Source organism: Homo sapiens, chromosome 10, assembly GCF_000001405.40.
Source record: "Homo sapiens chromosome 10, GRCh38.p14 Primary Assembly".
In the NCBI taxonomy this organism is placed as follows: domain Eukaryota; kingdom Metazoa; phylum Chordata; class Mammalia; order Primates; family Hominidae; genus Homo; species Homo sapiens.
The window spans coordinates 103,759,051-103,786,370 of NC_000010.11; the positions used below are offsets into that span (position 1 = coordinate 103,759,051).

At 50.7% G+C, this 27,320-nt stretch overlaps 1 protein-coding gene across 2 annotated transcripts in view, besides 7 other annotated features; it reads right to left on the minus strand.

Annotated features, from left to right (window-relative positions):
* Positions 1–27,320, minus strand: part of SH3PXD2A (SH3 and PX domains 2A) — a 261,550-nt gene that overhangs the window by 165,024 nt on the left and 69,206 nt on the right. For both annotated transcript variants that reach the window (NM_014631.3, NM_001394015.1), the window contains exon 3: positions 8,044–8,119. In NM_014631.3, coding sequence (NP_055446.2) covers positions 8,044–8,119 — 76 coding nt within the window. The remainder of the gene's footprint in view (positions 1–8,043; positions 8,120–27,320) is intronic.
* Positions 321–615: a silencer, noted in NCBI's record as "tiled region #10495; K562 Repressive non-DNase unmatched - State 23:Low". NCBI's record gives its function as "represses a minimal TATA promoter and a strong SV40 promoter by Sharpr-MPRA in K562 cells {active_cell/tissue: K562}" and the evidence as "EXISTENCE:reporter gene assay evidence [ECO:0000049][PMID:27701403]".
* Positions 4,569–4,698: an enhancer, noted in NCBI's record as "active region_3973". NCBI's record gives its function as "activates an Ori minimal core promoter by ATAC-STARR-seq in GM12878 lymphoblastoid cells {active_cell/tissue: GM12878}" and the evidence as "EXISTENCE:reporter gene assay evidence [ECO:0000049][PMID:35858748]".
* Positions 4,709–4,828: an enhancer, noted in NCBI's record as "active region_3974". NCBI's record gives its function as "activates an Ori minimal core promoter by ATAC-STARR-seq in GM12878 lymphoblastoid cells {active_cell/tissue: GM12878}" and the evidence as "EXISTENCE:reporter gene assay evidence [ECO:0000049][PMID:35858748]".
* Positions 4,949–5,018: a silencer, noted in NCBI's record as "silent region_2789". NCBI's record gives its function as "represses an Ori minimal core promoter by ATAC-STARR-seq in GM12878 lymphoblastoid cells {active_cell/tissue: GM12878}" and the evidence as "EXISTENCE:reporter gene assay evidence [ECO:0000049][PMID:35858748]".
* Positions 12,292–13,262: an enhancer, noted in NCBI's record as "H3K27ac-H3K4me1 hESC enhancer chr10:105531100-105532070 (GRCh37/hg19 assembly coordinates)". NCBI's record gives its function as "activates a minimal SCP1, AML or CMV promoter by ChIP-STARR-seq in naive H9 embryonic stem cells {active_cell/tissue: H9 hESC(naive)}" and the evidence as "EXISTENCE:reporter gene assay evidence [ECO:0000049][PMID:30033119]".
* Positions 20,411–20,910: an enhancer, noted in NCBI's record as "H3K4me1 hESC enhancer chr10:105539219-105539718 (GRCh37/hg19 assembly coordinates)". NCBI's record gives its function as "activates a minimal SCP1, AML or CMV promoter by ChIP-STARR-seq in naive H9 embryonic stem cells {active_cell/tissue: H9 hESC(naive)}" and the evidence as "EXISTENCE:reporter gene assay evidence [ECO:0000049][PMID:30033119]".
* Positions 25,985–26,486: an enhancer, noted in NCBI's record as "H3K4me1 hESC enhancer chr10:105544793-105545294 (GRCh37/hg19 assembly coordinates)". NCBI's record gives its function as "activates a minimal SCP1, AML or CMV promoter by ChIP-STARR-seq in primed H9 embryonic stem cells {active_cell/tissue: H9 hESC(primed)}" and the evidence as "EXISTENCE:reporter gene assay evidence [ECO:0000049][PMID:30033119]".

Sequence of the window (27,320 nt, forward strand, 5' to 3'; positions counted from 1 at the left end):
CCAGGGAGCGGGCCACGGACCAGCTCTAGTTAAAGACATCCCTTCCCCCTGCTTCCTTCTATGCTGGAACAAATACCGGATCTTCTGCACAGGGCTCTGGGGGCTGGGAGAGGAAGGCCCCGGAGAACATGCTTGCAATTCACCCAGCACCCTCTGCACTGTGGCTCCAAACTGCCTCTTCATTACAGGGCCGTTACGTAAACTGGCGAGTCAGTACAAAAGAAGCAAGCATGCCTGCTGACTAAAAATATACCTCTAAGCTCATAAGGTCACAAGGCTGTCTGCAGGCTGGCAACGCCTACCTTGATTATGGTTATAGATTCACTTTTCTCCCTAAGCAATCTCACTTCTCCAGGACTCATCAACCTGGGGATATGGATAGCGATGCATGGGACTAACTCAGCTATTAGGATGAAGGGCTTTCTGGAAGCCCAGAGGCCCAGTGCCAGCCAGTACAGAGACACAGATGGCTTGCTAGTGGGAGGGGACCTCGCACAGCCTTTGCAGAGGGAGTGCAGCTCTTTTTGCTCCACTGCCTGGCTTCTGAAGTCCCTCAATCCCTGGCCACAGTTGTTTGCTTTTTACATCAGCAGCTACACACTCTACTTCATGTCGTAATGACCATTTCCTCTCAGGGAGTCTCCTCAGGCCAGCAAACTCGGGATACACAGGAAATCTACTCCAATCCCAGGATGGGCAACAGGAGATGGATTTTCCACAGTCATCTTCTAAAACAAGGCAGAAAATTCCAAGTAAACAGTAGGCTGCCCTGAGAGGCTGGTGACCCCGCCACGCTTGGCCCAATGTCCTAAGGAATTTGATTTCTGCCCACCCCTCCAAAAAGCAAGAGACCTCAGAAAGCGCTAAGGCACACTTCTGAGCCAATTCTCCCTGGGCCTCCTGCTGTTGTACATGTCTTGTAAACAAGGCACTAACTGCTTTTTGTTTTGGATGATCTTTTCAAAGGTGCTTGCATAGCAAACAGCCTTAGAAGACAGAGGTAGTGCCTTGCTCTGGGGCATACGGCAGGTTTGCATATAGTCTTGGACTAAGGATAGTGTCCATCTTGGGAGCAAAAGGGCAGGTTTGCTTACCATCCATTATAAAAAGATGCAGGCTCCCCTCCTATAAAGTAACTCACTGCATATGCAGGCATTCATCTGAGCCCGTCTTGTCACACCTACGGAACTTGGAGGAACAGGAGAAGTCCCAAAGTATAAAAATATATGTAAACCAGGTCAGGTGCAGTGGCTCACACCTGTAATCCCAACACTTTGGGAAGCCAAGGCAGGTGGATCACTTGAGTCCAGGAGTTTGAGACCAGCCTAAGCAACATGATAAAACCCCATCTCTACAAAAAAATACAAAAATTAGCCAGGCATGGTGGCACGCAACTGTAGTCTCAGCTACTTGGGAGGCTGAGGCAGGAGGACAGATTGAGCCTCTGAAGTGGAGGCTGCAGTGAGCTGTGACTGTACTACTGTACTCCAGCCTGGGCAACAGAGCGAGACCCTGTCTCAAAAAGATATATATATGTATTTAAAATATATACATGTATATAAAATATAAAATATACAATACAATATATGTATATAAAATAAATATGTATATGTAACGAGGGAAAGATGAATACTTTTTTTTTAATCAAAAGAGAGCTGGAGTAAAAATATGTTTTTTGTTTGTTCGTTTTAGAGATAGAGTCTTGCTCTGTTGCCCAGGCTGGTCTCAAACTCTTATCCTCAAGTGATCCTCCTGTTTCAGCCTACTGAGTTGCTGGGAATACAGGTATGAGCCACTGTGCCCAGCCAAGAATACTTAAAAGAATATTTTTTTTAAAAGTTCCTTGCTTTGCAACAGGATTTATTATATGCCTCTTTTGAATAGAATAATACTTTGGACACCTAAAAGATCATGTGATTTGTTCCAAAGAGCTGAATTTGCACAGGTTTCTGGAATATGCCTTTTTGTTGAGGATGGGAATGCCGAGAGGTTGGGCCTGGGAGTACAGTTTCTCAGGGACTATTATCAAACCACTGCCTCCTTCCTAAAGACCAGCTGACATGCTTGTTTAACAGCACTCTCCACCTCCATAAAATAAAAATCAATTACTCAGGTCTGTGGTCTAGTTAGTTGAGTTGTGCCAATATTAATTTCCTGGTTTTGATAACATACTGCGGTTACATAAGATGTTACCATTGGGGGGAAGTGATGTGATGGTGGAAAGTGATTTGACCTCTCCTTAAAATGGGAATAATGCCAGCTACCCTGCAGTACAGTGGTGGAATTGGAGGGGGGAATGTAGAGTGCCTAGTATTTTTGCAACCTCTTGTGAGTCTCTAATTATTTCAAAATAAAAAGTTTAAAAAAATGCTGTTAGGAAACCAAATAGCCAAACTTGTTAGATCATAATTAAAGGAAGATAGCACTCTGAAAGCCTTGGGACTATCTTATTTGTAATCATTAAAATAATAAGTTAAGTGGTTTAATTGCAAGAAAAATATCAATTACTCTGTGCTGGTGAGTAATTACCTCGGCCACTCAATGGAATGAGAGAACCCTTACAGGTCACCTGAGTCCCCGTGAGGTTCCAGCCACCTGCCACCCACACAGGGCACTCCTGAAACATGAGATAGCAATGACAGCCCGAGGGAGAGGCTGGACCTCCCAGTGGTCTGTCTCAGGCAGAACTTCTCAGATCCCTAACCTGGGAGGTGTGCAGGCAAGAAGGGAGGGACAAAGACAGAGTCTAGCTGAGGCTGTTGTGGCAATTCCTTCTTGCCCAAGGAAAGACATACGGCCCCATAGGAAGAATCGCGGCTCTGCTGCTGTATGGCTAAGTGATGGTGGACAGTGATTTGACTTCTCTTTAAAATGGGGATAAAGCCACCTGCAGTGAGACTGGAGGGAAGGTATGCAGAGTGGCTAGGATAAGGCTAGGCACACACTAGGAGCAATCAACACGTCTTTTTTTTTTTTTTTTTTTTTTTTTTGATACAGAGTCTCGCTCTGTCACCCAGGCTGGAGTGCAGTGGCACAATCTTGCTCACTGTGACCTCTGCCTCCCAGGTTCAAGTGATTCTCTCACCTCAGTCTCCCAAGTAGCTGGGACTACAGGCATGTGCCACTATGCCTGGCTAACTTTTTGGTTGTATTTTTAGCAGAGATGGGGGTTTCACCATATTGTCCAGGCTGGTCTGGAACTCCTGGCCTCAAGTGATCCACCCATCTCAGCCTCCCAAAGTGCTGGCATTGCGGGTGTGAGCCACTGCGCCCAACATGTCTTAACAAAGCACCCCCCATCCAGCCTCATGATAGAAACATGACAGAGGCGGATAAGGGCCTTGTCTCAAAGGAAGGCTGCAAAGGCCAGCAAAAGAGATGGGTGTGTCTCCCTCAGTCTCACATAATACGGGGTTTGGAGGCATAGGCCTGGGGGGGCTCCCTTTCCTTCCCTCTACCCCTTGCCCCCACCACCACTCTTCAGGGTGTCTGGGCTCTGGAGTAACTCTCTGCCCCTTCCTGACCATGAAACGTCTGGGTTTTCTTTCCCAGGATGCCTTGCTGGAGAACTGCCAGTCCCACGTGGGTCCATAGCTTCTCATTGCCCTTCCAAGGCTCTGCAGACTTCATAAAGGCTGGTGGTCCCAGACACAGTGGATTTTCACTTCCAGGGTCCAGAAAGCAGGTTCTAGCCCTGATGAAAACAATTCGGGGGCTCTCTTACGGGCAGTTCCCCTACAAAATTTTCTATAGGATTTGATGGATATGCCAATGTCAGCCCCTGGGTCAGCAGTATACTGGCTCCCCACTCTACCACCTTGTTGGCCCTACTCACAGACCCCCAATCCTTACCCCCAACCTCAGCACCACTGCACAACACTCCATCTGTCCCCCAAGAGCCAATGAGCCCTGTCTGGGTCAGCTTCTCCAGGGATGGAGCTTCTGCCTTTGACCACAGGAGCCCCAGGCACTCACCACTTTTCAAATCTACAGGCTGACCCTGAACTGACCATTACACCACCCAGACATATCACAAGACTGTGTCCTAGGTCCCAAGACTTACGGCCCATGTGTGAGATTTTCTGCCAGGATTTGACTGGCAGATGGGCAAGCATGTAACCAAGCCATGGTTTCCCTTTGTCTCTAATTTCTCTGTCAGCTCCACCAGCCAGTAAAATTTCTATGAGCCCTCAGCCATCAGCCTGCAGCCACATGGGCCAAAGCAAATCAGCTGGCCTAACACTCCAAGCACATCCCGCAGACTCCACACTTGGGCAACAGAAATGCTCAGCACATCCCAGCATCTCTGGAGCTAAAATTGAGACCCTTCTGGAAATAATAGGTGCTCTCTGCTTCCACCCCTTGGGATTTCCTTGCTCTGAAATTTCAGGTGAGGCAAAGGGCTGGCAAGGCTATTCTCAAGGCTGGCTGCTAACCCTCCCTGGGGTTGAAAGACTGTTAAGTTCTCTGGAGTTCTGCTGAGTCACTGCTGCTGGGGGTGAGCCTGGGGGAATCAGCAGGGTCCCTTCAGACACCCTCCCTAGAGGCAAGGAAGCAGAAGCAGAGCCTTGAGCTGGTGCTAGTGTGTATAGCAGATGCTGTCCTGAGCCCCTGTACCAGCTGCGGCTCCTCCCCTCAGTGCTGTGAGTGTGGGCTACTGCTAGGGGCTTCCAGCTGCCCCCTTCTTCAGATGCATGCCCCCGGCCATGAGAGCCATCATGCCCATGCTCCACACCCTTTGGAAGAAGAGGCAGCCCACAGACAATGGATGACTGATGTGGGGGGGCTATAAAAGCTGTCCCCTAAGATGGAACAGTTTTGTGGTGCCATTCACCCTCCAGAGCTCCCCGTGGGATCAGGCAGAGGCTAGACTTAGCTGAACACACATCTCTGCCTCACTTCCTCTTCTGCCCCATCCTGTTTCCTTCCCTGCCACAGGAAGTTCACGTGAGAGCATACCCTCAAAAGCCACTAGCAGGCGAATCCTCATCTCAGGCTCTGCATTTAACGAACTTGACCTAAGACAGGCAATGTTCATCACTGCCCTTCTCTGACACCCTCTCCTCCTGGAAGCCCTGTGCATCAGGGCGGTGGGGGTGGATGGGGAATCCTCACACCCACTCAACTTGCCCTGGCCAGGTTCTGATTGTGTTGCGTTATTTTTCCTCCATCTTTTTCCTTCATGTCTGAGCTAAGGAGTGAGCAGAGCATAACAGGGTTAAGGTAGTTTCTAGTGAGCAGGAGGAAGGCCAGGGACAGGGCTTGGGAACCCCGGGGTAGGATTCCAAATGGCCAGCAATGTGTGTTTTGAAGTCCTGGAGAGTGAGTGAGCTGAAGAGGAGTCTAAGAGGGAACCCTGCTGAAGCAAGGCAAGAAAAGAAGCCAAACCAGGAAAAAGAAGGGCACAGGGTGGGGGCGAGTCAACCTCACTCCTCCTGACAACATCACCCGCTATGCACAGGTCACATTTGCATGGGAGCTGGAAGGTGTCTCCATGCTTGACTTTTCCCAGTAGGTGACGGTGGTGTGGGGGCAGGTGACTTTCTTGATTAACAGCTGCCATTTATTATTTACTGTAAGACAGACTTTGTGCAAAGTGTTTTGCGTAAATTCTTTTAATCCTCACTGCAATCCTGTAAGTGGAAACTGAAGTTCAGAGAGGTCCTCAGTCCTGTGGCAGCTATTGTGTTCTCGGCACCTGGGCAGCTGATGTGGAAGGGAGCCCTGGCCCAGGAGTCAGGAATGACAGCTCTGGTGTGGGCTGTGCTTCCTGGCTGTGTAGCCTTGTGCAAGTCTATTAGCCTCCCTTGGCCTCAGTTTCCTAGTCAGTAAAATGGGGATGATCACCTAGTTGGGAGGATCAAATCAGATTATATATGTAAATTGTGGTGTAAAATGCTAGGCATGTATGGAACATTAGTAATAATAAGGACTAACATTTATTTGGCCCCTACTAGGAGCTGCCATAGTTGTAAGCACCTGAGATACACTCATTTATTTTATGCTTGAAACAGCCCCACGAAGTACATTCTATCATTATCCCCATTTTCCAGATGAGGAAACTGAAGCACAGAGAAGCTAATGCAACTTCTCTGTATTGGTAATCAGCAGAGCCAGGGTTTCCAGGGTGAACCCGGGCAGTTTGACTCCTGAGACAAGGGGCTGAGGTAGCGGCAGTACACAAGCCTTTGCCCTGCGTTCCACCCTCCAAGCCTACCCATCCTGTGGGGGCCAGCTCCAGGCCCCCCTCGTTCAGGAGGTCTCTGCTGACTTCCTCAGCTCACAATGAGGTCACTGTTCTCTGAGCTCCCTCTCCAGTCACCCTCAAATTGCACAGTGGTACAGTCACATCCTGCCTTAAATGGTCCTGGGATGATGGAGCAGGTCTTCTCTCCACTAGCCTGAGCGTTCCGTAGATGAGGAAAACAAATTCAGATCTCCCTTTAATTCACCAGGCCACCCAGCCCCATCAGCTCTGACAGGCTGAGCCCTGGTAAACAGCTGCTGATGGAATAGTGATGGGGTGCTCTTTCTCTGGAGTGCTAGCTGAGGAAGAAGTGGGAGAAGCCCATTCTTCTGGAGCAAACAGGCGACCTTCATGCCCCAAGGCCAGCCTAACACGCTGTGGCCTCAGGTTGCCTCTAGGACTCTTGTGCCCACAGCATCCCAGATGGGCTACCAAACCCTGGCACTGAGCTTCCAGACTGTACCGGAGCACCATCTAAGGTTGTCACCAACCTGGATGCTGGACATTCCATTCAAGACCCAGTGCAAAGCCAAGCAAGGAATGCAAGTCACCCCATGTGAACTCCTGGGCCAGGAATGAAGGAGCAATGCTATGACCCTGTGCGGGGAGGCCAGGGGCCGAGAGTCCCTACACCCTCACTGACTAGTTCCAGTCTTGCCCAAACTGTGGAATTTAGAAGTTCTTCCTTGTAGCTAAACTAATTATCTCTAGCTATAGCATAGGACTCTGAGGACAGGCGGTCATAGGGACTCACATCTTTCGCTGCTTTTGAGGATGGAGGAATGCAGGAGAAACGCCTTTCAGAGAGGAGCCGCTCTCTGAGGGAGGTGCCCCTACATCCGTTTTCAAGTCAGCAAGCAGGCACTGGCTGTGGGCTGGCAGTGTGCCAGGGGTTAGCAAGGTGCAGGCCCTGCTTCTTGCCAAGGTCTGACTGATCACTGTGGTCCTGACCTGTGCAGGTCCAGGGCCAGTCTGAGCCCGGGGGGAAGCCCACTGTGAAGGGAGCTCTTCTGGGGAACGGTAGGGGTTCTGGAGAGCCAAGAGACAGCATCGCTTATCTGGTGCAGGGCAGAGCCAGACATGGACCAGGAGGCCCGAGTTTATTCCTCAGCTCTGCCACTTTTACGGGCAGTTCTTTAACCTGTCTGAACCCCAATTTCTTCACCCATTGGGGGAGATTATAGTACACACCTCGGTATAGAGATGTGCATATGATAACAAATAAAAAAGCACTCCATGGCTATAAATCTCTATACACACTTAAGACATCATCAAAATAACAGGTTATGATACACCTGAGAAGTTTTCCTCTAAATTACATAATGTAATTGATTGCCTTAAACACACTCCAAAATGGTGTAAGCCTCCTCTTCCATATAAGGTGACGTGAGGACTGGAGGAGATCAGATCAGGGAGTGCGCTCAATTTAAGGTTATCCGTGATTAGAATGGGAGTCAGTACAAACATCTCAGCCTGCAGCTCTTCATCCATTCATAGAACTTGGTCTCTCTGTGCTTTTTGTGAAAAGGAAACCAAAGTCCAGGAGCCTGAGAAACTCCTCAGAAGCTACAGGCCAGGAGCCAGCAGAGACGGTCTTGTAATGGTGAGAGAAGCCACTTGGAGGACAGTGGACTTCACAGTCTGGAGCTTCCAAATCCCCTGGGGGAATTGTTCATATGCAGATTCCTGGGCATGCCCCGCCCAGAATCTGCTGCTTAGTACTCTTCTCGGCCTAAGGGAAGGACTGGTCCTTCCCGGGTATCCCCCATCCCTGGGTGGAGCCACCCAATGCTTACCTGGGAGGAAGGGGATGATCCTTTGCTTGGGGTCCTTCTGGCCACCTTCAATGGGAAACTTATCCAAAAGCTGCATCTGAGAAGCCAGACAGACAGAGGGACAGGATTCAGAAGACCAGAACATTCCTCATCATCCCTTCCCCACTCACTCCACTGCTCCAGGGCCCCAGTGTCCTCACACGGATGAGTGACGCCTGAGATCCCTCATTTCACAGATGATTAACAAACCACATGGGGCATGAGAGGGAGGAGGCCAAAGCTCTCTCTGCATCAAAGAGGGCATCTGATCAATCTCAGTGAGCGGGTAGGAGTGCAGGGGAAGGTGTCAGGAGATGACCCCGAGCAAGGCTGGGGTAGGGACCAGAGGCTTTCAGGCCAGGCTGCCTGTAGGGTTTCCAGAGGCTCCTTTGGGCCTAGTTTCTTTCCTACTTCGTCTGTGGGGTGAATCCTTCAGCCACTGGCCATCCCGAACCCTCTTGGGCCAGGATGGGGGAAGGCCCCACCTGATACTTTAGACAGACCACCCACCTTCCAGAACCGTGCTGTGGAAACAGAACCAGCTGTTATTTTAATTGCAAAACCAAATCCATCCCATTGCCCCTGCTGCCGGAAGACCATTCCTCCACTTCCTACCTTCCCACCCTGAGGTCGCTGCTGTTTTTCCAAGGACGGACCCACTGGAAGAGTTTCCAGGGTTCTGGAGGAACAACTGTTTTGTTTTTTTTTTTTTTTTTTTTTTTTGCTATTCTGGACTGAAATTCTATGTAAACTGGAAAAACACACAGGAGACAGGATGGATGAGGCCAGGGCCCCTTTGTGTGTGGCTGATTTCCTTTCTGAGGCATAGGCAGGAGGGGAGTCATGATCTAGTCCTGCTGCCCCAGCTGTGTGACCTCAGGCAAGGAATGGAGCCTCTCAAGGTTGGGCCTCAGGCCCCTCCTTGGTAGAATGAGAAGGATCAGTCACATGATCTTTGAAGTCCAATCAGTCTTTCAAATACATATTGAGCATCCACTTTACAGCACTGGGCACTAAGGAAAGGGCAGTAAAGAAAATAGACAAAGTTCTTGCGCTCAGGGAGTTTACACTCCGGTGGAGGGAGACAAACAGCAAACAAGTAAGAATGTCATGTGCCAGGGAAGATCAGATCAGTGCTGCGGAGGAAAATCAAGTAGGATATGGTACGGGAACAGTACAGGAGTTGTCATTTTATATAGGGCGGCAAAGAAGGCCTGACCTCGAGCTAGCAATTCTACAGAGACCTGCAGGGGGGCGAGGAAGCAAGCTACGCTGGAGAGGGAGAACGTTTCAGGCAGGGAAGCAGGACGTGCAAAAAGAGCCTGGCAAGGCCGATGTGGCTGGAGTGGAGTGAGCCAGGATGAGAGGGACAGGCAATGAGATCTGAGTGGCAGGATGGGCCAGAGCACAGAGGGCCTGGTGAGGCTGTGGTGAAGACTCAGGGCTTGTCGTGATGGAAGGGGAAGTCCTGGAGAGTTCTGTGCAGAGACAGACGATCTGCTTCACACTTAGAAAAGACGGCTCTAGCTACGGCGTAGGGAATGGACCACAGGGTGGAAGCAGGGAGACCAGTTAGGATCCTACTGAAGGTGACTTGGACCAAGGTGTTAGCACTGGAGGTGGTGAAAAGCGGTTTGTCTTAGTCTGTTTAATGTTGCTATAAAGGAAGACCCAAGGCTGGGTAATTTATCAAGAAAAGAATCTTATTTAGCTTGGCTCACAATCTACTAGGCATGTGGTGAAGCCTCAGGCTGCTTCCACTCACGGCATGGAAGGGGAGTGGGCATGTGCAGAGATCACAGGGCGAGACAGGAAGCAGAGGGCAAGGGGGAGGCGCCAGGCTCTTTTTAACAACTGGCTCTCACTCATTACTATGAGAACAGGACCAACTATTCATGAGGGATCAGCCCTCATGACCCAAACACCTCCCATTAGGCCCACCTCCGACACCAGGTATCAAATTTCAACATAAGACTTGGGGGGAACAAATATCCAAGCTATAGCATGGTTCTAGGCTAGACTCTGTGTGTGTGTGTGTGTGTGTGTGTGTGTGTGTGTGTGTGTGTGTGTGCGCGCGCGCGCGCATTTATTTCCATCCATCCATCCGTTTGTCCACCCATCCAGCTCTAACACACAATTTTAGGATTGTCTCTTGCATAATCATTACCCAATATACCCAGGTTATTTAGATCCCACATAATGAAGGGCAGGTCACCGGTGATTACATTCAAAACAAGACAAAGACTGCAGCATGATTAACTTTCACTTCCCTGAATACAGATGGATATTTAACAAAAGCTGGCTCATGATTTTTTCTTTTTCTTTCTTCTTCTTCTTCTTTTTTTTTTTTTTTTTGAGACAGAGTCTGTCTCTGTCACCTAGGCTGGAGTGCAGTGGCACGATCTCAGCTCACTGCAACCTCCGCCTCCCAGGATCAAGCTATTCTCATAGCTGAGATTACAGGTGTGTGCCACCACGCCTGGCTAACATTTGTATTTTTAGTAGAGATGGGGTTTCACCATGTTGGCCAGACTGGTCTCGAACTCCTGGCCTCAAGTGATCCGCCTGCCTCAGGCTCCCAAAGTGCTGGGATTACCGGTGTGAGCCACGGCGCCTGGCCACGTGAGTTCTCAATGTTTTAAGTCAAACTCTCAAACATTAATAATTGCCTGCTATGTGTAAAAACAGCAACTGGGCCATAACACTCTAAACAGGATTTTTTTTTCTTTCCTATACCTTAATGCTCAGCAAAGGATTTTAAAAATTAATACATTTTCAAATAAATTCTATACAGATTAGGACTCCTATTTTCTCCTTTTCCCATTTTCCTCACCCATATTCTGTTTTTGTAGATTTCATTTCTATATTACACTACGACATAAGGAATTCATGTTCGCTAAGGGAAAAAACTAGAAGTTATAGCAGTGGGTGGTCAAAAAGAAACTAAGAATCACTCATAATCTCTCTCCCTGACATTAATATTTTGGGATATCTATCTTTGCTAGGCATTCTTCCATCCATGTAAATAAAATGAACCCATCAATACTTTCACACTATATAATGAACATTTTTCCATGTCAATGAATACTTTCATATCAATGTTCTTTTTTCTTAAGAGACCAGGTCTCACTCTGTTGCCCAGGCTGGAGTACAGTGTGCAATCACAGCTTGCTGCAGCCTCAAACTCCTGGGCTCAAGTGATCCTCCCACTTCAGCCTCTGGTGTAATTAGGACCAGGTGTGTGCCACAATGCCCAGCTAGTTTAAAAACTTTTTTGTAGAGATGGGATCTCACTGTGAGGCTAGTCTCAAGATCCTGGCTTCAAGCGATCCTCCTACCTTGGCCTCCCAAAGCACTGACATTACAGGTGTGAGCCACTGTGCCCAGGACACGTCAGCATTCTCAATCAGGACACAGAATTTCAATGTCTGGATATTGCCAGCTACAAGTGCCACACAGAATGAACTCTTACTTGGTTTGCTCTGGAGTCTGAGCTCAGAGATTTGCTTTCGTTGAAAGCTGACCTGTGGGCAGAAAAGGTGTCCCTGGCAGCTGGTTAGCTGTGCTTCCATTTTCCGTGGCCAGTGGTCCATGGGGGTGGGGGATGACTGACAGGGGGACCAGCTCCGGGGCTCTGCTGGCTTATCCTGGTGGTGGGATATTGCTGCCATAGTGTATTTACCCACTCCCCTACTGTTGGATATTTAGGTTGTTTCTGACTTCTCACTACTATATATAGCACTGTCGTGAATCCCCTTGTTCACATGTCTACGCACACTTCCTTAATAACAATGCATTTCTTTTTACTTTTTATCTTGTTGTATTCTATGCATATTTATAAGTACCTTAAATCTTTTCCATAAGAAGAATGAGAATTCATAAATGGATAACTAACATGTCATTGGGGCCTCTGAGAAATGACTCCATAGGTTTCTGATGAAGAGGTACAGAGATGTCTGAGGAGAGAGGTGGGCCCAGCAACACGCGCCCAGGTATGGAACGCTTTGTCCTTATCTCAACCACCTGTCTCCTGAAACAAGGTGACCCGCTATTCCACCACAAGTGGTGAGACCTCACCCAAGGTGCTATATCTCTCTGGGGCTTAAGGGAGTTAGGCTACCAAAACTTGACATTTTTTCCCCAGCTCTGACATGCATATGTTCTCCGACTCCTCCATCTCTTTCAGACCTAAGAGTCTGAGATTCTCACAGTGCAGAGGGAATGTGATGCTGTGGGGAGTGGGCAGGGGCAGGCAGGACTCATGCATTCATTCCTTTCCCCCAAGAACCGTTTCTGTATGCCTTCTCCATGTCAGGCTCTGCCTTAGGTGCTAGAAATAAGTTAAACTGTAGCCTCATGGCCAGGCGCAGTAGCTCACGCCTATAATCCCAGCACTTTGGGAGGACAAGGCAGGAGGACTGCTTGAGGCTAGGAGTTCACAGACCAGCCTGCGAAACCCCATCTCTACTAAAAAAAAGTACAAAAATTAGGTGGGCATGGTGGTGCACATCTGTAGTCCCAGCTGAGGCAGGAGAATCGCTTGAACCTCGGAGGCGGAAGCTGCTGTGAGCCAAGATCGTGCCACTGCACTCCAGCCTGGGCAACAGAGCGAGACTCCGTCAAAACAACACACACACACACACACACACACACACACACACACACACACAGACACACACATACCCTGCAGCCTTCACATCAAGGAGCCAGGCTTCACAACCTTCAACATGCATCTGCAGCTCTTGGCAAGTTCTGATTCAGCAGGTCTGGGCAGGACCTCAGGTGCTGAGCCCAGCCACACCTGTCACCTAATCCCACCACCAGGATAAACCAGCAGAGCCCCGGAGCTGCTCTCCGTCAGTCATCCCCCACCCCCATGGACCACTGGCCGCGGAAAACGGAAGCACAGCTAACCAGCTGCCAGGGACACCTTTTCTGCCCACAGGTCAGCTTTCAACGAAAGCAAATCTCTGGGCTCAGACTCCAGAGCAAACCAAGTAAGAGTTCATTCTGTGTGGGGCTTGTACTTGCAAAGCTGCACAGTTCAGCATCTTGGCCCTCAATACGTCAGATCGGCGGGCGGTGAGAGACAGTTCAAATGTCACCCCTCCTAGAGGGCCAGGCAGGCTGCAAAGCGGGCTCTAACCTGGTCAGTACCCAATTTGCAGGGCTAGTTTCCACAGATAAAACAATCGGGGCTGAGCGGGGCTGTCTCCTGAACCTGCTGCCCCGCCCTCTGGGAGGAAGAAGGCTGGGCGCGGGGGCGGTGAGGCAGGAAGGCCCCGCCCAGCAGAGAGTTCTCCGGGACCACCTTTGCAGGCAGGAAGCAGATTCTCCTGTCACTCCAGCACGGGCCTGACTCAGGCTGGAGGAAAAGCAGGGCCCATCGCCAGAGTCCTGGCTGGAGTGAGAGGCATTTGGCTAATGGAGCCCCTCGCAACCACATCAGAACCTCGCAGTGTGTGGAGGCGGCCAGGCTGTTTATCTAAAGGGTGGATCGTGTGAGAGATAGGGGACAGCTGGGCTCCACGCGCTGGCTCCAGCCAGAGAAAGCTGATTCGGCAGCTCTCCCAGGGCAGGGCTCCGCAGCAATCCACGCAGGGGAGAGGGGAGGACGGGCGAGCCCAGCTGGGGCACATCTGTAACCCAAGAGGCCGGCTCCTCGCCCCTCCCAGAGGGTGGAGCTCCCAGAGACTCAAGCTTTCAGGCCCCAATCCTCAAACCTTCATCCTTGTGCCCTTTCTATCTAGCTCAAGAAAAAAGGGTGCATTACTACAAAAAGCTGGTGGCTTTCCTGACCCAGAAATTCCCCTTAAAAAGAGACAAGGACAGCCGGGCGCGGTGGCTCACGCCTGTAATCCCGGCACTTTGGAAGGCCAAGGCGGGGTGGATCACCTGAGGTCAGGGGTTCGAGACCAACCTGACCACATGGTGAAACCCTATCTCTACTGAAAATACAAAAATTAGCTGGGCGTGGTGGCGGGCGCCTATAATCGCAGCTACTCAGGAGGCTGAGGCAGGTGAATCGCTTGAGCCTGGCAGGCGGGGGTTGCAGTGAGCTGAGATCTCACCATTGCACTCCAGCCTGTGTGTCAAGAGTGAAACTCTGTCTCAAAAAAAAAAAAAAAAAGAGAAAAAAAGAGACAAGGCCACCCAGTCTCTGTGGGGACCATGCAAGATTGCGGGAAACCTCAGAATTCATTTGTTCATTCTACTTAGCTGAGGACTAAGCAGTCCCCTGTGTTACATGCAGGGGACACATCAGCGAGCATCACAGAAGAAGAGAGGGACAATAATGATAAGTGTGGTTTTTCTTCTCTTTTCTTTCTTTCTTTTTTTTTTTTTTGAGACGGAGTCTCGCTCTGTTGCCCAGGCTGCAGTGCAGTGGTGCAATCTCGGCTCACTGCAACCCCCTCCTCCCAGGTTCAAGCGATTCTTCTGCCTCAGCCTCTTGAGTAGCTGGGATTACAGGTGTGTGCCACCATGCCCGGCTAATATTTTGTATTTTTAGTAGAGACGGGGTTTCACCATGTTGGTCAGGCTGGTCTTGAATTCCTGAGCTCAAGTGATCTGCCTGCCTCAGCCTCCCAAAGTACTGGGATTACAGGTGTGAGCTACTGTGCCCAGCCTTCTTTTCTTTCTTTGAGACAGGGTCGAGCTTTTGTTTCCTAGGCTGGAGTGCAGTGGCACAATCCCAGCTCACTGCAGCCTTGACTTTCTGGGCTCAAGTGATCCTCCCACTTCAGCCTCCTGAGTAGCTGGGATTACAGGTGTGCACCACCCAGTTAATTGTCTTTTTTTCTTTTAGAGACAGGGTCTCACTATGTTGCCCTGGCTGATCTTGAACTCCTGGCCTCAAGTGGTCCTCCTGTCCTGGCCTCCCAAAGTGCTGGGATTACAGGCATGAACCATCATGCCTAGCCATTTTCTTTATATTTATTCTCTTTGGGAGTTCACAGGGCTTCTTGAATCTGTAAGTTGATAATTTTCACAATATTTGGAAAATTTGTGGCCATTTAAAAAAAAGTTTTGTTTCTACTCCATTATAATTTTCTTCTATTTCTGGGACTATTGTTACATGTAAGTCAGAAGACTGCATATTGTACTACATGTTTCTGGGACTGTGCGTGTGTTTCTTCATTCTGTTTTCTCTGTTATACGGATTGGATCATTTCTAATGATCTATATTCAAGTTAAGTGATCCTTCTGCCATTTCCATACTAGCGGTTAAGCTCATCCAGTGAAATTTTCATTTCAATTATGGCACTTTTAAGTTTCAAAATTTCTATTTGACTCTATTTTTTATAGTTTCCATTTCTCTACTATCTGCTTAATCATTAAATCCATATTTTCCTTTAGTTATTTAACTGTTTGAAAGTCGTTCAACATCTGGGCCATCTCTGTGTTAGTTTCTAGTACTTTTTTACACCTATGGGTCATATTTTCTTATTTCTTTGACCACTTAGTAATGTTTCATTTTATACTTGTCATTGTGGCTAATATGCTGTAGAGACTCTGGATTCTGTTATTTTTCTCTGAAAAGTGTTGATTTTTGTTCTAGTAGCCAATTCAAGTAATGGTTAATCACCTCAAACTTACGTAGGCAGAGTTTTATGCTTTCTTAGGGGGGATCTATGGAAAGTCCTAGGTATTTTCCAAGTACCTCTAACTTGATGTGACTCAACCTCCAAATTCTGTCTCCTCTGTGGATATTGTTAGGACTTATTCTTGGGTTTGATTAGGGTGAGTTTACAGTAGGCCTTACTTTAGGGTCTTACTTAGGTCCTTGCTGCTAAAGTGCCGCCCTTCCGGTGTCCCAGCTGGACGCCTGGAGTGTTATGCAGATTTGATCATTTCTAATGATCTATATTCAAGTTAAGTGACTCTTCTACCATTTCCATACTAGTGGCCCCCCAGATAGGCCTGAAGGAACAGCCAGGGAGAGAGCGAGAGGAGAGAGAGAGGACCTGTCCACCCTGGCAAGGAGTTGGGATGCTTTTAGCTGGGACATGGCTCATGCCACGCTGAGGAAGCACGGTGCTAGAACACACCCCAACTTTGACAGGGAGCCCATTCCAGGTTCTAAAGTTCCTTAACAAGTCAAAGAAGTCTTCTTTGACCATTTTCTGGAAAACATGCAAGCCTTCACTACTTCAAGTCCCTTCCCAACCAGGCCTTTACCACATCAGCAGGTTTCAGGAGTGTCAGTCATGGTCTGTGATCCGAGTGGGAGCTGGGACACCCACATGGGTACAAGGGACTTAACTAGCAGCATTAAGTGGGTGTCAACCTGCTGAGTGGTATGAAAAGCCAGGCGATGGGAGTTTAGGAAAGGACAAGATCAGTGTGGCTGGAGTGAGCAAAAGGATGTCTCAGAAGAGACATCAGAGCCAGGCCTTGAATAGAGAGCTGGGAAATGGGAGGAAGGCCTTCCAGGGGGAGGAATGGCAGGGACTTATGCTCGGCAGTGGGCCTGTCAGGATTGCTACAGGAAGCAGTGGGATGGGAGTGATTTGCCTTGCTCACGGATTCCATGAAATGCTGCCGTATGTCAGAGAAAGTGCTGGGATCCGGGGTGGAGGCTCCTGATCATTTATTCCAGCGACTTGAGGATGACCACACAGCTGGCACCAGGGCTGGATGAGGGCAGATGCCTGATGTGCCACTCTCAGGGGTAATTAGGGTGCCCTAAAGCATCACCAGCAGTGTGACGAGATGGAGAAGTCATTTTCAGAACCCAGCTCAAGGACGGCACTACATGTGGCTGGAGTCTCTGGGATGGGGACTGGCAGGTGGGAGGTCTCAGATGCCTGCTCGATAATAACACACACTCACTAAGCTGCTGTCTACAGCATCTGGGTTGGGGAAAGCAGAGCCATTTCCATCCCTGGGCTCTAGGGGAGCATCTGTTTCCTTGCCTTTTTTAGCTTCAAGAGGCCACCTATATTATCTGGCTCATGGCCCCTTTCTCTGTCTTCAAATCATAAGTGTATAGCCGGACACCGTGGCTCATGCCTGTAATTCCAGCACTCTGGGAGGCCAAGGCAGGAGGATTGCTTAAGCCCAGGAGTTTCAGACCAGCCTGGGCAACATGGTGAGACTCCACCTCTACAGAATATATAGATTTAAAAATTAGCTGGGTGTGGTGCTGTGCACCTGTGGTCTCAGCTACTTGGGACACTGGGGAGGGAGGATTAATTGAGCCCAGGAGGTTGAGGCTGCAGTGAGCCATGATCATGCCACTGCACTCCAGCCTGGGTGACAGAGCTAGACACCACTGTCTCAAAAAAAAAAAAAAAAAAGTGTGTGCATGCGTGTGTGTGTCTGTGTGTGTGTGTGTGTGTGTGTGTGTGTGTGTGTATTCTAACTATTTAGTTTGCTAGGGCCACTGTAACAAAGTACCACAAACTAGGTGTCTTAGCAGAGTTTGATTGTCTCACAGTCCTGGAGGCTAGAAGTCCAATATCAAGGTATGGGCAGGTTGGTTCCCTCTGAGGGCTGTGAGAGAGGGTCTGTCCCATGCCTGTCCCCTAGCTTCAGGGATGTAAGTCATCTATGGCATTCCTTGGTTTGTAAAAAGGAGAACCTTGATCTCTGCCTTCATCTCCACATGATGCTCTCCCTGCGTGTGTGTCTGTCTAAATTTCCCCCTTTCACAGGGACACCAGTCATGTTAGATTAGGAGCCACCCTACTCCCGGATGATCTCAACTAATTACATCTTGATGACCCTGTTCCCAAATAAGGTCACATTCTGAGGTACCAGAGGCTAGGACTTCAATATATGAATTTTGGGAGGAATACATAAAAACTTCAACCCATACCATTAACACATTAAAACAAAACATAACCATTAAAAGATAAATATCTGTCCGTATACTATGAAGAGTCTCTTCCTGAATCACAGTGGTGCTTGCACAACATTTTAGAAAATGTGAAGAAAAATAAATCGTGAATAGCTAGGCAGCTCTGCATTCAAATCAGTTTCCTCATCTGTGAAATGGGAACAGGGACAAAACCTGACTGGTCAGGTGGGTGAGAGGATTAAATGAGATAATGTAGGTAAAGTGCTTGGCACAGAGCCTGGCACTGAGTAAGTGCTCCATACACACCGGCTATTCTTATCACCCCTGTCACCATTACTCTTGTTATGACACCAGGCTGCGTCCCTCATGCCAGGGAAAGTGCTTAGGAAACTACAACCCTGAGGTCAGGGAGGCGGCAGGGAGACTGAGAGGGGTGGATGGGTCTGGGAGGCGTCTTGGCCTGGGCCAGCTTGGCTCTGGGCATCTAGAGGCCCCAGGGGAGCTGCCCAGCTGGCGTGCGTGGGCCAGGGTTGGGGAGGAGGCCTCTGGCTTTCCCAGCAGCTCATTCCGTGGGTGGGGGCTGGCCAGGACGTGACATTTAACATGCTAGGCCTGGGCGGATAGCCCGACACCTGCAGTGAGATATACACAGGGTGAATTAAGCAAAGATGTGCTGGAGGATGCAATCCCAGGGGAAATCCTCAAGCCACAGAAAGCCTCTCTCTGATGCCCAAAAGGTGCCCAAGTACCGATGCCTGTCCCCAAACCTACCCCAGTGGCCTCATTCCACAGACCCCCACCTGCTGACCCATGGCCTTTGTGCAGGAGAGAAAGAGCACTAGGTTGGAGTCAACAGAGGAGGATTCCAGTTCTAGCCTGCAAGAAGTTGCTGGGCAACTGGGGCAAATGGCTTGGCCTCTCTGGGTAACCACAGCCTTATCTGTGAAATGCTGGACCTGCCTGTCTCCACACGTGTTGTGAGGATCCAAGGAGAAGATGCAAGCAAGTGCTGCCAAATGCCAGGAGTCATCATTCCCACATAACTTCTCTGAGCCTCAGTCTACTCATCTGTAAAATAGGACCATGCCTGTTTTTCCCCTCCATGGTGGCTGAAGTTAAAAAGGGAAAATGGGCTGGGCGCAGTGACTCACGCCTGTAATCCCAGCACTTTGGAAAGCCGAGGCAGGAGGATCACGAGGTCAGGAGATCGAGACCATCCTGGCTAACATGGTGAAACCCCGTCTCTACTAAAAATTAAAAAAAAAAATTAGCTGGGCACGGTGGCGGATGCCTGTAGTCCCAGCTACTCGGGAGGCTGAGGCAGGAAATGGCGTGAATCCGGGAGGCGGAGTTTGCAGTGAACCGAGATCGTGCCACTGCACTCCAGCCTGGGCGATAGAGCGAGACTCCGTCTCCAGAAAAAAAAGGCGGGGGGAAATGAATAGGTAGAGCGCTTTAACACAGGCCAGGCACAGAGGAAACCCCCAGAAGGAGGCACCTCCCTTGGCACTGTTTTACCATTATTAGTGTTCTAGTCAGTAGTGGAATGCTTGAGGGCTGAAGTCAGAACTCCAGCTTATTCTTTCCTAGCTACATGACCTTGGCCAAGTCACTTAATCTCTTTGTGACCCCATTTTCTCATCTGTAAAATGGGAGTAGAAACAGCGCCCCATGGCACTGTGCGGATGAAATGAGAATACAGGTGAGCAGGTGTGCTGGCCTTACCGTGAGTGCTAGATGAATGGGGTCGCCAGTTTGAAGGTAAAGAGACTCCGGTGGTGTTTCCCTGATCTCTGATGCCCTCCTCCAGCCCTTTCTGCTTTCAGGGAGCTGCTCAGGGCCACCTGCCAAGCCCATCTAACCCTAACTTCCAACAGCTGTAAGGCCTTTTGGGTTTTTCACCTATAATTTCACACCCTTTCTCATCCTAAGGCTGTTGAGCTTTGTCCCAACACAGATAGCTCAGGTGACTTCAGCTCCCCTTGGCCAAGAGGGAAGAGCATGAGGCCAGGGCAGCAGAGCACCTGGGGAGCTAGTGACAAAAGGAGTCAGATAAGAGATTCTGCAAGTGGCCAGCTCTGAGCCTGGCTCCTGGCAGAAGGAATAGTGTCTCCCCAGGAGTCACAGAACCTGAGGCATGGCTTCTTACTATGTTTATGTTTTTGTTTTTGAGATGGAGTCTTGCTCCGTCGCCCAGGCTGGAGTGTACTGACACGATCCCGGCTCACTGCAATCTCTGCCTCCCAGGTTCAAGCGATTCTCCTGCCTCAGCCTCCCGAGTGGCTGGGATTACAGGCACCTGCCACCACGCCCAGCTAATTTTGGTATTTTAGTAGAGACGGGGTTTCCTCATGTTGGCCGGGCTGGTCTCGAAATCCTGACCTCAAGCGATCCACCCGCCTGGCATGAGGCGCCGTGCGGGGCCGGCTTCTTACTATGGATGGGAGCTACACCCCAGCATCCTCCTGATACCCCCGTGTGCCAGCCCCGGCTGCTTGTGAACTTCCCTCCCTTTGGTCCCTAGGAAGTGTGGGAGCTGGGGGAGCCTGGTGCTGGAGCAGGGAGGGTATACATGGGGCAGTGTGAGGGGCAGGGCTGCAGGGGTCATCTGAAACAGAGGAAGAACTCGGACTTCCTCCTCCAGGCAATAGGGAGCCCCTGAGGCTGCTGAGCAGCGAAGGAACACTGTGAAAGTGGAATTCTAGGAAGACACATCTGGCCAGTACAGAGGACGGAGAGTGGTGCAAGAAACATCTGTGTGTGAGACAGCCAGCCAGAGGAATCCTGGCACCAGCCCAGGGCGCCGGTGGTGACACTCCGCAGAGAAGGAAGTCTGCCCAGATTTGAGGTGTTTTCTGGCAGGTTCCTGGCTGTGGTCACTCTGTTTCCTCCTGGGGGTCTCTAGCCATCCCCTAGCCTTGCCAGAGACCACTCACAGGTTTTTGAAATTCTCCCCAAAGCTGCCTGACACTTTTCTCTCTCACACAAACTGCAAGGACTATCCAAAATAGGAGGAGGCCCTGAAGAAGGGGGAAGGGGAAGGAAGGCAAACGGCTTTAACCTTTTCCCGGCTGAACCACACCCCTAGCCCCAATTGTTCTTGATTCTTCTCATCCTCCAAATGGCCTAGAACTGTGGTACCCCAAGTGCCCTGGCCACTACGGGATCAAATTCAGACTGAAATCTGGGACAAAGAGAGCACTTTTTGGCAAAGATGAAGCCAAAACAGACCCTCAGCGGGCCTGGGCCCAGGCTGCTGCTCAAGGCAAGGAGATTCCAGAGCAGGCCCCCAGTGTGCAACCCTGATGGGCTTCCTGGAAAGGGAAGCCAAGCGGAACACTTCTAAATGACAGTCTAACATCCTTGCCTTTCTCCTTCCCTTCCCCAAGCATCTCCATTCCCCACTTTTTTCTCTATTCCAAATGGGTCAAGGTGCCCATAGGTCTCAGAACCTTCTTCCTCCAAAGTCTTGTCAAAAGGAAAAGCGAAAGAGTAGGCTACTGCAGAAGGCTGGGGTCAAGCGGGCAGAGTTCAGCTCCTCCCTGTAGCCTTGCCTGGTTAATATGGAGCCCTGGGGCTGTGAACCAGCACCAGCCTCTTTGGCCTTCCCAGGAAATAAGAGTGGCTGGGCCATCCTAGAACTCAGGAGAGGGCAATGAAAGCATCCTTGAAGACACTGGAAGCCACCATCCAGGCCCTGTGTTGCTGAGTGGAACCCTCAAAGGTCAGGCAGGCGCAGCAAACTCCAGCCAGAAGCACTGCCTGCACCAGGTGACTTGGAGAGTCACCTCCCCACTGCCACCCCTTCCTCCTCTGTTAGAAATTTCCTGGCATGAGAAACCAAGATACATGTGAAACCTCTCTGCAGGTCCAGGCAAGGAGAGTGCTAAGTTTGAACCAGTCTCTAATGTTGCTGCAACTTGCTCCCCACTCTGCAGATTTCATCTTCGGCTTCACACCCTTTGTTGGCTCTCTGCTGCCTGTGGGACACAAGCCTATTCATGACCTCTGCTCAACTGACCTCTCTAGTCACACGCCCTGCCACCCTTGCTTGTCCGTCCCTGCACACTGCCTGGCCTGCCTGAGGTCTCCACAGGTGTAACCTGCTGTTCCACAGCTCCCTCCTCCCCATCACTCCTGCAGATCGGTCACACTTCTAGAACTATGCTTACCATACTGGACTTAATGATTTGCTTGTGAAACTGTTTCCTTCCAAAAGCCTGTGAGCTTCTTGAAAGTCATGTCTGTGCCTTGATATTTCCACTGTCCATCATGGTATCCAACACATACCTGGACCTATGACTAGAATACATTTCCCAGCCTCCCTTGCTGGGAGGTACAATCATGGAACTAAATCCTGACCAGTGGCACATGAGCAGGGTAATGTACCCTTCCCTTTGGCATAACCCACAGAATCTCCCTGCAGTCCTTCATATTCTCTCTTCCTTTGCCTGCTGGCTAGATGCAAAACTCCACGCAGGATGGGGTCACCAGCTGGGGGAGTCTGAGTTCCTGAATGACTGCCTGGAGCAGAGCCCTCTAGTGACTTGTTTAGGTCTGGGACCTGTGCAGAAAATAAATATGTTGAGTCACTGAGTTTGTTATACAGCAGTTAGCCTGCCCTGACTCATACAGAGGAGCTCAATCAAGGTCTATTGAAACAAACTAAAAGAGGGAAGGCAATAGAAAATGTAGATTCCTCCTGCGGTTCTATCCTTAGATCCAATCAAGTCAGGCATTACATTCCCTGCATGACTCAACTATTGCTGGAACTAAACCATCACTCCTCTCCCACAGCTGTATCTATCAAACCCACATGCACAGTGGTTAGAATGCCATGCTTTCCCCCGGAAGGACTGAGAAGGGTGGAGGACTTGCCAGATGGCCTCTGAAAGTCACTCTAGGTGAATGGGCCACACCTCAAGATCCTGGTTTCACAAGCTTGTAGAAAGCACACAGAGACACAAAGCTGAATTGCAGGGAGGAGCCTCCTCCTTGCCACAGGGACATCAGCATGCCTGACACATGACCCTCAAGCTCAGAGGAACCAACGATGGGAACCCACCGCCTCTCTGAAGCAGCCCACGCCATTCCTGGGCAGCCTCTGGGAAGTGCTGCAACAGGGCTCCTCACAAAGCCCAAGTTCACCAGATCAGATCCCCACCTGGTCACGAAGGGCTATGACCTAACAAGGGAAAGATCACACTGGGACCGAAAGAAGAATAAGAGAGGAATGGAGAAGAGGGACTTCAAACATATCCTCCCAATGTTCCACGCCGGTGCTACTCAAGGCAGACTGTGGCACTGACATCATCTCAGAGCTTGATGGAAAAGCACAATCTCAAACCCCAGGCGGACCTGCTGAATCAGAATCTTTTAGCAAGATTGCTAAGTAGTTCATGTGCACATGAAAATTTGAGAAGTCCTCATTGTTCTCTGCCATAAAGATTTCATCTAATCCTTAACAAGCAGATCCCAATAGTAAATCTAGCCCATAGGCAAAGATGGGCACACAAGAGGAGGAATGGGAGCTAAATAAAACTTGCCTTTAAAGCGGAGGAGGAGGACAGCAGGCCTCTCTCTCCCATTCCTTCATAACCAGCGGCAGCTCACTATGCATTCATTTATTCATTCAACAATGATTTCCCAAGCACACACTATATGGCAGGTACTGTTCTAGGCATCGGGAAAACAGAAGCTATGGAGCAGGCAAGATCCTGCTCTCTGAAAGCTCACATTCTGGGGAGAAGGGGAGGGAGGTGGGGAATGACATAGTAAACAACAGTTAAGAAGACAATGGGCTGGGCATGGTGGCTCATCCCTGTAATCCCAGACTTTGGGAGGCTGAGGTGGGAGGATGGCTTGAGCCCAGGAGTTCAGCCTGAGCAACACTGGGAGACTCCATCTCTCCAAAAAAAAAAAAAAAAAAAAAAGATAATAACAGGTTGTAATAAGTGTTTTGAAGACAGTAGAATGTGACAAAGTGACCAAGAGTACATGAAATGAATGCATGCCTTGGGGGGGGGGGCTCTCTGATTCTATGAGAGGTGCCATGTGAGCTGAGGCTGAGTGCCCAGGAGTCAGCTCCTTGGGGACCTGAGGGAAGGGACTGCAGGCAGAGGGAACAGCAAGGACAAAGGCCTGGTGGCAGCACTGCGCTTGGTGCCCAAGGAGCAGGTGAAGCGAGCGAGCTGGGGTGCTGAGAACAAGTGACAGGAGGGTGACAGAGATGGGTCTGGAAGGGCAGGCAGGGCCATCACCCAGGGCCTGGGGGCAGGCAAGGAGTTTGGAGTTCATTCCAAAAAGAAAGGGAGTCTTCAGAAAGGTTCAAGGCCATGGTCTGCCAGGATAGGGTTTATGTTTTAGGAGGGCTCTGATTCGTGGGAAGACTGGATTATGGAGGAGGTGACCGTGAGAATGTGGAGACCCCTGAGGAGGCTGTCTCAGTTGCCCAGGTGACAGGTTGATGCGGGGCTGGACCACGGTGGGGGCAGAGTCGATGCAGAGGAAGAGGGCAGATCCGGGCTGTCTCTGGGGGGCAGAGTCTGAGAAGATGAGCTGAGGACGAGCTGACTTGCTATTGGGCTGGATATGGGACATGACTGGCCAGGTGTGGGGTGGTCCCAACCGGGTTTGAATCCCTTTTGGCATCTTAGATGCACATAGCAGCTGACCCAGGCACAGGTGTGCCCCGTACAGGTCTGAAGGTGTCAAAGCTGGCATCTGCTGCTTGGATGGCTTCCTCCCTGGTCACTGAGGTCAGGCATTTATTTTGCCCATAGACGTCTCCTATAACTTCTTTTTGGAATCTCCTTAAGCCAAGGACTTCCCAGTGTTCCTTCACAGTGGGAAAAGGGGAGAACAAGGTGGAGCCCAGATGGAAAAAGAGAGGAATCCCTAGAGCTAAAAATAAACCTCGGGCAGTGTTGCCAGGGAAGCCTTGTAAAGCAGCCCCCGCAGTGAGGCGAGCCGCCCGGGGCAGCCTGTGCTTCCCAGGCTCTGCTGCCAGCCCTTCTAATGAGGCTCTCCTTGGGGGAAAAACTGCCTCCTGCCAGGGACCTGGGAATGCAACAGGAAAAGTCCCCCCGCAAAGCTTGCTGTCTTCCAAGCCCACCCTGGTGCCCAGCTGCAGGCTACTTCTCCAGGTGGCAGCCCAGCTGCTGACCCAGGTGATGGGCTCCTTTCAAACAGGGGAGCTGCCCACCTGGAATGAGATGCAGGAGGAGGAGGAAGTGCAGGGAGAGAAGATGCTGGCTGCTCGGGGGTTGCTGGGGCACCTGTGTGCAGGCCTGCCCTTTTCCAGGTCCCGCCCTCCCTGGACTTCAGACCCCAAGAGGTCACAGAAGCAGGGGTCGCCCAAGCCTCTGTGCATGCCCAAGGCGGTCCTGTCCCACACCTTGCCCACGTGGATGCCCGTGCCTGGAGCGCCTTCCCAGCCTACCTGAACCCCAGCCCTTCTCCACCTCCAGTTCCACTCCTACACGCAGACCCAAGGCAGGAGGAAGGGAATGTAGCATTGACCAGACACCTCTTCTATCTGCACCATTTTATTTATTTAAAAGAGACATATCTGAAGCAAATGTGGCAAAATATTCACGTGTTAAATCTGGGCAGTCGGTCCTCTCATGCCTGTGATATCATTTTCTATAGGATTGAAAACATTCCTAATTACAAATAAACACTGGAGAGAAGCTGCAGCACAGAGAAGCACTGGCAGCGGCTGGCTGGAGGGCAGGACAGTCCCAGTAAAAACTCGGGGGGTGCAGTGAGGAGGCAGGAGGATGGGTCTGCTGGGGTGGAGGAGGAAGAAGAGGAAAAGAAAGGGGAGGAGGAGGAGAAGTAAGAAGGAGGAAGGAAGGGGAGAAGGGGGAAAAGGAGAAGGGAGTGGGGAGGATGTGGGGAGGGGTCCAGATGGCAGCTGGGTTTGGAACACACTGAGGTGGAGGCACATGTGTGGCTTACACGCAGAGACACCTGGGAGCGGCAGCCTACTAGGCGTGTCTGCTTAGACGGGTAACCAGTCTGCAGGTCAGCTCGGGTTGCATCTGTCTCCAGCCCCTCAGCCCCACTCTGAACACCAACACTTGCCCTTAGCAGGTGCTCAACAAATGTGATCAGGTGCTCACCCCCAACCCTTCCTTCCAGTTGATGGCAAAGGCTTGGACCAGAGAAAACGGCTGTTCACTGATAGAAGATATTCAAGGGCCAGCAAAGCCCTGCCCCAAGCCTGTTCCTGACACCTACCTGACCTGGATCGCTGACAGCTTGGGGGCCAGCCTGTCCCTGCAAGAGCCACTCCCTTTCCTGGGCACCTGCCCACTGCTCAGCTATTTCTAGCAGGAACAGCAATGGGGCAGGTGTGGCCTTAGAGGAACAGCTAGCATGGGGGTGGGCAGGGATTAGGCAATGGAACAGACAGATGAGACCCGGGGACCCTCTGTCCAGTCAGATAAGGGGAAGAGCTGGCCCAAGACTCCTGCCCTCCGTGCCCCTAACCCCACTCACAGGGACTCTGAACCCCACTCTCCGGGGGTAGCCTGAGTGAGGGCTGAGGCCACTGCCAGCCCCTTGTACTCATAGGGCCCCCGGGCACAGCATGGCCCAGGGAAGGGAGGAAGCAGTCACTGCTCTTCTGGGAGGGGGACAGAGCAATGGCTGGCCATCACGGCTGCCCACAGGAGGCAGGACAGCCTCCCCATCAGGTGCCAAGACTGCCGCCTGATTCCAAAAGGCGCGTCTGTACGTGAGCCACTCTCGGGAAAGCTGCCTCCCCATCCCCACAGTCTCCTGAGGAGGGGAAGCAGGTTTCCTCCCCTGCAAGGGCTTCTGCCTTCACTAATCCCAGCAGGAGACTCCCATGCAGACCAGAGCAGGCTTCCACCTGCCCTTCTCCCAGACTTCTGCTTGGGATGCGGCCGCATCCTGGGATGAGACATGCAGACGAGACTGGCAAAGACAGAATCAGGGCGAGAGAAAAAGCCTCCGGGGAGGCTGACATAAGAGCGTAGACGGAGGCTCAGGGAAAGGTCACAGGAACAAACACAGCCACAGCCAGAGATGGGCTCAGAGACCTCAGACAGACAGAGAGAAATAGAGAAACTGAGGAAAGAGAGACAGAGAGAGAACACCACAGGGAGAATCCAAGACTCCTGAGCAGAGCAAGGAAACGAACATACAGAAACTGACCATTTCTCTCTATGCCCAGCCCCCACCTGCCCCTTCTGCTCTGTAGCTGAAGCCTTCTTGGCAAGGAAGGGAAAGGACTCCTCTCCTCTTCGAGGTGTGGGGCTTCCCAGGCTGGCTCTGCAGCACATCAAAGTGGCAGCAGAGAGGAACGGCTTAGCGCATGGATTCCAGCACCAGACTGCCCAGTCTGAATCCTGGCTCCTCCACCTACCTGTGGTGAGACCTTGACATCCTATGTGACCTGAGTACCCTCATCTCTTTTTTTTAA